The 4,642-nt window shown below is 48.1% G+C and overlaps 1 protein-coding gene across 1 annotated transcript, besides 1 other annotated feature; it reads right to left on the reverse strand.

Moving 5' to 3' along the window:
• Positions 1-2,763: 2,763 nt before the first annotated feature.
• On the reverse strand, positions 2,764-4,464 carry MAGEF1 (MAGE family member F1). Its single transcript, NM_022149.5, has one exon. It carries the CDS (start codon positions 4,219-4,221, stop codon positions 3,298-3,300), a length of 924 nt encoding a protein of 307 aa, NP_071432.2. The 5' UTR covers positions 4,222-4,464; the 3' UTR covers positions 2,764-3,297.
• Positions 3,664-3,723: an enhancer, noted in NCBI's record as "active region_20913". NCBI's record gives its function as "activates an Ori minimal core promoter by ATAC-STARR-seq in GM12878 lymphoblastoid cells {active_cell/tissue: GM12878}" and the evidence as "EXISTENCE:reporter gene assay evidence [ECO:0000049][PMID:35858748]".
• Positions 4,465-4,642: the final 178 nt, after the last annotated feature.

The following is a 4,642-nucleotide window of genomic DNA, read 5'->3' on the forward strand; positions in this document are numbered from 1 at the left end:
ATCCTGAGGCAAGGGTACCAGTTCTGCCAGCCCTTTGTATTATTTGGAAACAGTGCTGGGAGTCATATTTGCAGATCCACAAATGCTATTTGATTATTCCATGGCATGAAAGATTAATTTGAGGTTTAGTGGAGAGGGCAGACTAAAGACTGAGGAAACACAGTTTGTAAGGGCAAAATATGCTAAGTTTGAGCAAAAATACATTCTACATGTAGCCAGCACTCTGAGAACACTGGGGAGAGTAGGTAGAGCTGGGATCAACATTAAAAGATAATGCCCCAACTGTATTTTAGCCTTATTTGTACCTGCTGGCCAGCATCTTATCATAATTACCTTGGCCACACAGCCCTTGTTGTATCTCCAAAGAGACAGCAGTGTCTGAAGAAAGAAGATGGTTCAGAAGACAGATGACCCAAGTCTGGAAGGAGTCTCAAGAAGGAAATGTACAATAGTGAAAAGTGCGACCTCTTGACTCAGATTTCATCTCCAATCCTTGTTCTGTCATAGTCTATCTGTGAGAACTTTATAGCATCTGAGTCTGTTTGCTTCATGCAAAATGGAACAGATGATATCTTCTAAGACTGTTATAAAAATCATTAAAACATGTAAAGCATAAAAAGCCAGTTCATCTTAGGTATTAAATAATTGGCAAATTTACTAACATTAGTATCTGTAAAATAGAGATATTTGCAATGTGCTTGTGAAAAGGAGAAAAAGAATGCCTTTGGCCTGCAGTAGATATTTAGAAATGGTCCTGTCTTTGCCATGCACCACTACATGTTTGACCTTGAGCAAAGCCACCTCTGTCATTGGTAAGACGGGGAGTATTTCTACTCTATCTCACTCCCGTAACAACTGCAGTGGTGTCTGGAGGTAATTACACATGCCTCACTTGTTTCTTGGAGTTGTGATGACTAAAATTGAAGGCTAAGAATGGGGAACAATGCACTAGAATGAAACACACTGGATTTCGGGGCAACAGACTTGGGTTCTAGTCTTGGTACTGCATTTTACCAACCAAAAGGCCTTAGGCAAATCACCGAGTAATCTGACCTCTCATCACTGTGAGAAAATACAAATGTGAGAAATTATCGTTATTGCTCCTTGAAGGCAAAGCCAGTCTTTTTTTTTTTTTTTTTTTTTTTTTTGAGATGGAGTCTTGCTCTGTCACCCAGGCTGGAGTGCAGTGGCACGATCTCGGCTCACTGCAACCTCCACCTCCTGGGTTCAAGCGATTCTCCTGCCTCAGCCTCCTGAGTAGCTGGGATTACAAGCGTGCGCCACCGTGCCCAGCTAATTTTTGTATTTTTAATAGAGACAGGGTTTCACTATGCTGGCCAGGCTGGTCTCGAACTCCTGACCTTGTGATCTGCACACCTCAGCCTTCCAAAGTGCTGGGATTACAGGTGTGAGCCACCGCGCCCAGCCAAGTCTTCTCATTTTAATAGTTCTGGTACCCATCAAAGTTGTTAGCACAGAGTGGACACTCAATATTTATGTTTAATGAACCATAAACTACCCAGAAGTTGTATTTTTAACCGTTAGCAACTTTTTTGTCCCTAAGCTGGTAGCTTTTGTCCCAATCTGATTTGTTGGATCCCTACGTCCCAAAGTAGTTTGTATTCCATGCCAACCTTAACATCCTCAGAGATGTTACTTGGACACAACTGGAAGAAAAAATTGATAAGAGAAAAGAAAGCAGCTCTTCTGTTTATGGCAGTTGCAGGGGAAGTTTCACCATCCGCCCACCCTGCCCCCGACCCTCACCCACTCTCTGGTTTGGGAATCACTTCTCTAAATTCCCTATTATTCTAAGTACCCTTTCTACAGGATTTACCCTCACGCAGAAGGTGGTGGGCATTGAAGAAGCCAGAGCTCCTTACAGATGACTCTCCACGGATAACATGAAGGGGAGGGATACCTCACAAGTCTCCTGTAAATGGGAGGTGGCAGGTGGAAAGCAGCAGGCAGAAACATGGAAGGGGGAACTGGGCTTCCTGGTGCCAGAGGAGAAATCTTGAAGTGGAACTTCTTGGTAGTAGTAGATTTAGGTACCCTTCATCCACACTACATAATATTCCAGAGGTGTTACATTATTTGATCTCTGAGGGCTTTGGTAGAGGAGGGAACCCTGTAGAGGTTGAAAAGGAGACAGAAAGGGCCAAAAAGTTGACAGTCAACATCTTTGTGCACTGTTAACAATCTGGTCTGGAAAGACAGCACTGGCAAAGGTAGAGTATTTCCCAGATCTGCCATGTATCAAGTCTGCTCACATTACTGAGGAGTAGCTGTGATCTGAAATCATTATTTTTATTTCTTATTTTTTTCTGAGACGGGGTCTTGCTCTGTCTCCCAAGCTGGAGTGCAGTGGTATGATCTCGGCTCACTGCAACCTCCGTCTCCTAGATTCAAGAGATTCTTGTGCCTTGGCCTCCCAAGTAGCTGGGATTACAGGTGTGTGCCACCACGCCTGGTTAATTTTTGTAATTTTAGTAGAAACAGGGTTTCACCATGTTGGCCAGGCTGGTCTTGAACTCCTGACTCCGGTGATCAGTCCGCCTCGGCCTCCCAAAGTGCTGGGATTACAGCAAACCTCACTCAATCATCCCAGCTGGGTTAAGTATCCCTTTGTAGACTTCAACTCATTGCACTGCTAATTTCTTGTTTATTTACTTACTCTTCAATTCTGAAAAAAAGTAGGACCTTTATCTTGTTTAGTATTCTATCCCCAAGTGCCCACACAGTGCATCACAGAAAACAAGATGCTCCACAAATGTTTAATTTATTAAGTGTGCCAGGGTATACTGCTAACTCATTGCATTTTAATTTTTCTCTAGATACTCAAATAGCTAAGCAAATGAAGGTACATGCCAGTCTTTCTTCTTTTATACACAACAGACAAAAGTGTTGGGGGGCTAGACACCAACCAGCTATTTTTTTCCCCTGGAACCAGATCATCATACTGCTGAGTTCCTTCAAACCATCAAAGTACAGCCTTCCTTCCAATGTTGCATAATCTGTTCAAAATCACAGTATAAATACAAAGTTCTTCCATCCATTTTACAAAACCAGCAAAACTCTACAATAAAATCCTACAGGAAAAAGTAGACCAATCTCATTTACAAACAGCATTTTAACAGTAATTATTAAATGTTACAAAACATAAGATACAAAATCTAAATCCTTAAAGTCACACGATTTCTACAGAAATAAGACCCTCGCCCCACCCATATTACTTATGACTCAGGACAGTAGTTCGTCCTCACGGGGACCCACTGGCCAACTTTTCACCAACCCTCACCAGAGGTGGATGCCGGCCCTAGCACTGGCCCTGGCCCTCATACTGGCTTCAGCTCTGGCCTTGGCTCTGGCCCTGTCGGCCTCGTCTGCTAGGGCCTCACGGTACTGCACTGGCCAGTGCTGCGGTTCCTTCTTATGCAGTTTGGCCACGAACCCCAGGACTTCCATCTTGCTGATTTCCAGGTTGCTTCGGGGACCCCAAGAGAATTCATATTCTGGTGGATTGGTGTGAGGCACCCGCCTGTAACTGAGATATCGCTGCTGCACAAAATCTTCCATAATAAGCCTCTTCGGATACCCAAAGAGGAAATGATACTTTGAGGGTTGCACCCCCAACCGACGCAGCATCTCCCAGACCTGGGCCTCCCTGGCGCTATTACCTCTCATATAGATAAGGCCCAGGATCATCATTAACAGACCCAATCTGGGGCCATCTCCTCCCAGATCCTCCTCCTCCTCCTCCTCCAGAGGTTTTAGTTTGTTGATCAGGATGTAAGTGTGGTGCTTGCGGTCAAACTGTTTCAGCTCAAAACCAAAGACATACCGCAGATGCTCTGCGGCCCTTGCGATGATGTCCGGGAACAGAATCTTCAAGTCTCCAATAACGTATTTCACCATCTCCGAGCGTGTGATGGGACTCTTCTTCTTGTCTTTCACCAGGAGGAACTGCACCAACTCCGCCACCGTCCGATTCAGCCGGCGGTAGGCCCTGCGCCTTGCCAAGGCTTTGGCCGCCAAGGCCCTCGCGCCTTTCCGGGTGAGGGCGGGCTCCGCAGCCCCCTCCTCCCTCCCGGCGCCAAGCTCCTCCTTGGGGCGCTCCTGCGAGGCGGTCGGGGCCCGGGTCTCACCATCATGGCCGCCATCCTTCTCCCCCTCGGCCTGCGGGACCGGGAGCCCCCTGCTCTCTGGTGTCTGCAACATGTTTTCGGGCAGGCAGGTGCAGAGCGCGTACACGGGCCGAGGGGTGTGGGAGCCGCCGCGCAAGCCCCGGGGGAGGGGTTGGACAGCGGCAGTGACGGCGGGAGTACAAGGAGCAATGGCAGCGGGAGCTTTGTGGCTGCTGGGCCGCACCGCACGGGAGTCAAACCTGCGGCCGCAACGCCGCCAGCAGCCGGAACCTGCGGCGCGCAGCCTCAGTCCGCGCCCGCGCGAGGGGCCACTTCCGGCCACCTCAGCCAGGACGGCGACCCTAGTGCCGCGCGCAGCCCCTCCTTTTCCGGTCCCTTCTGGGTTGGGGGTGTGCCCAGGCTGCTATAAGTGGAAATGCCCTGGAGGGTGGGGACGGGGGTGCGCCCTGTGACGGATTTTAGGCTTGAAAAGTCGGGGGCGGGGGAATGTAACC

Source organism: Homo sapiens, chromosome 3 (assembly GCF_000001405.40).
Source record: "Homo sapiens chromosome 3, GRCh38.p14 Primary Assembly".
NCBI classification, from domain to species: Eukaryota; Metazoa; Chordata; class Mammalia; order Primates; family Hominidae; genus Homo; species Homo sapiens.

What these genes read in the sequence shown, in the direction of transcription:
- MAGEF1 (NM_022149.5), bottom strand. Translation starts at nt 4,221, where the DNA reads ATGTTGCAGACACCAGAGAGCAGGGGGCTCCCGGTCCCGCAGGCCGAG.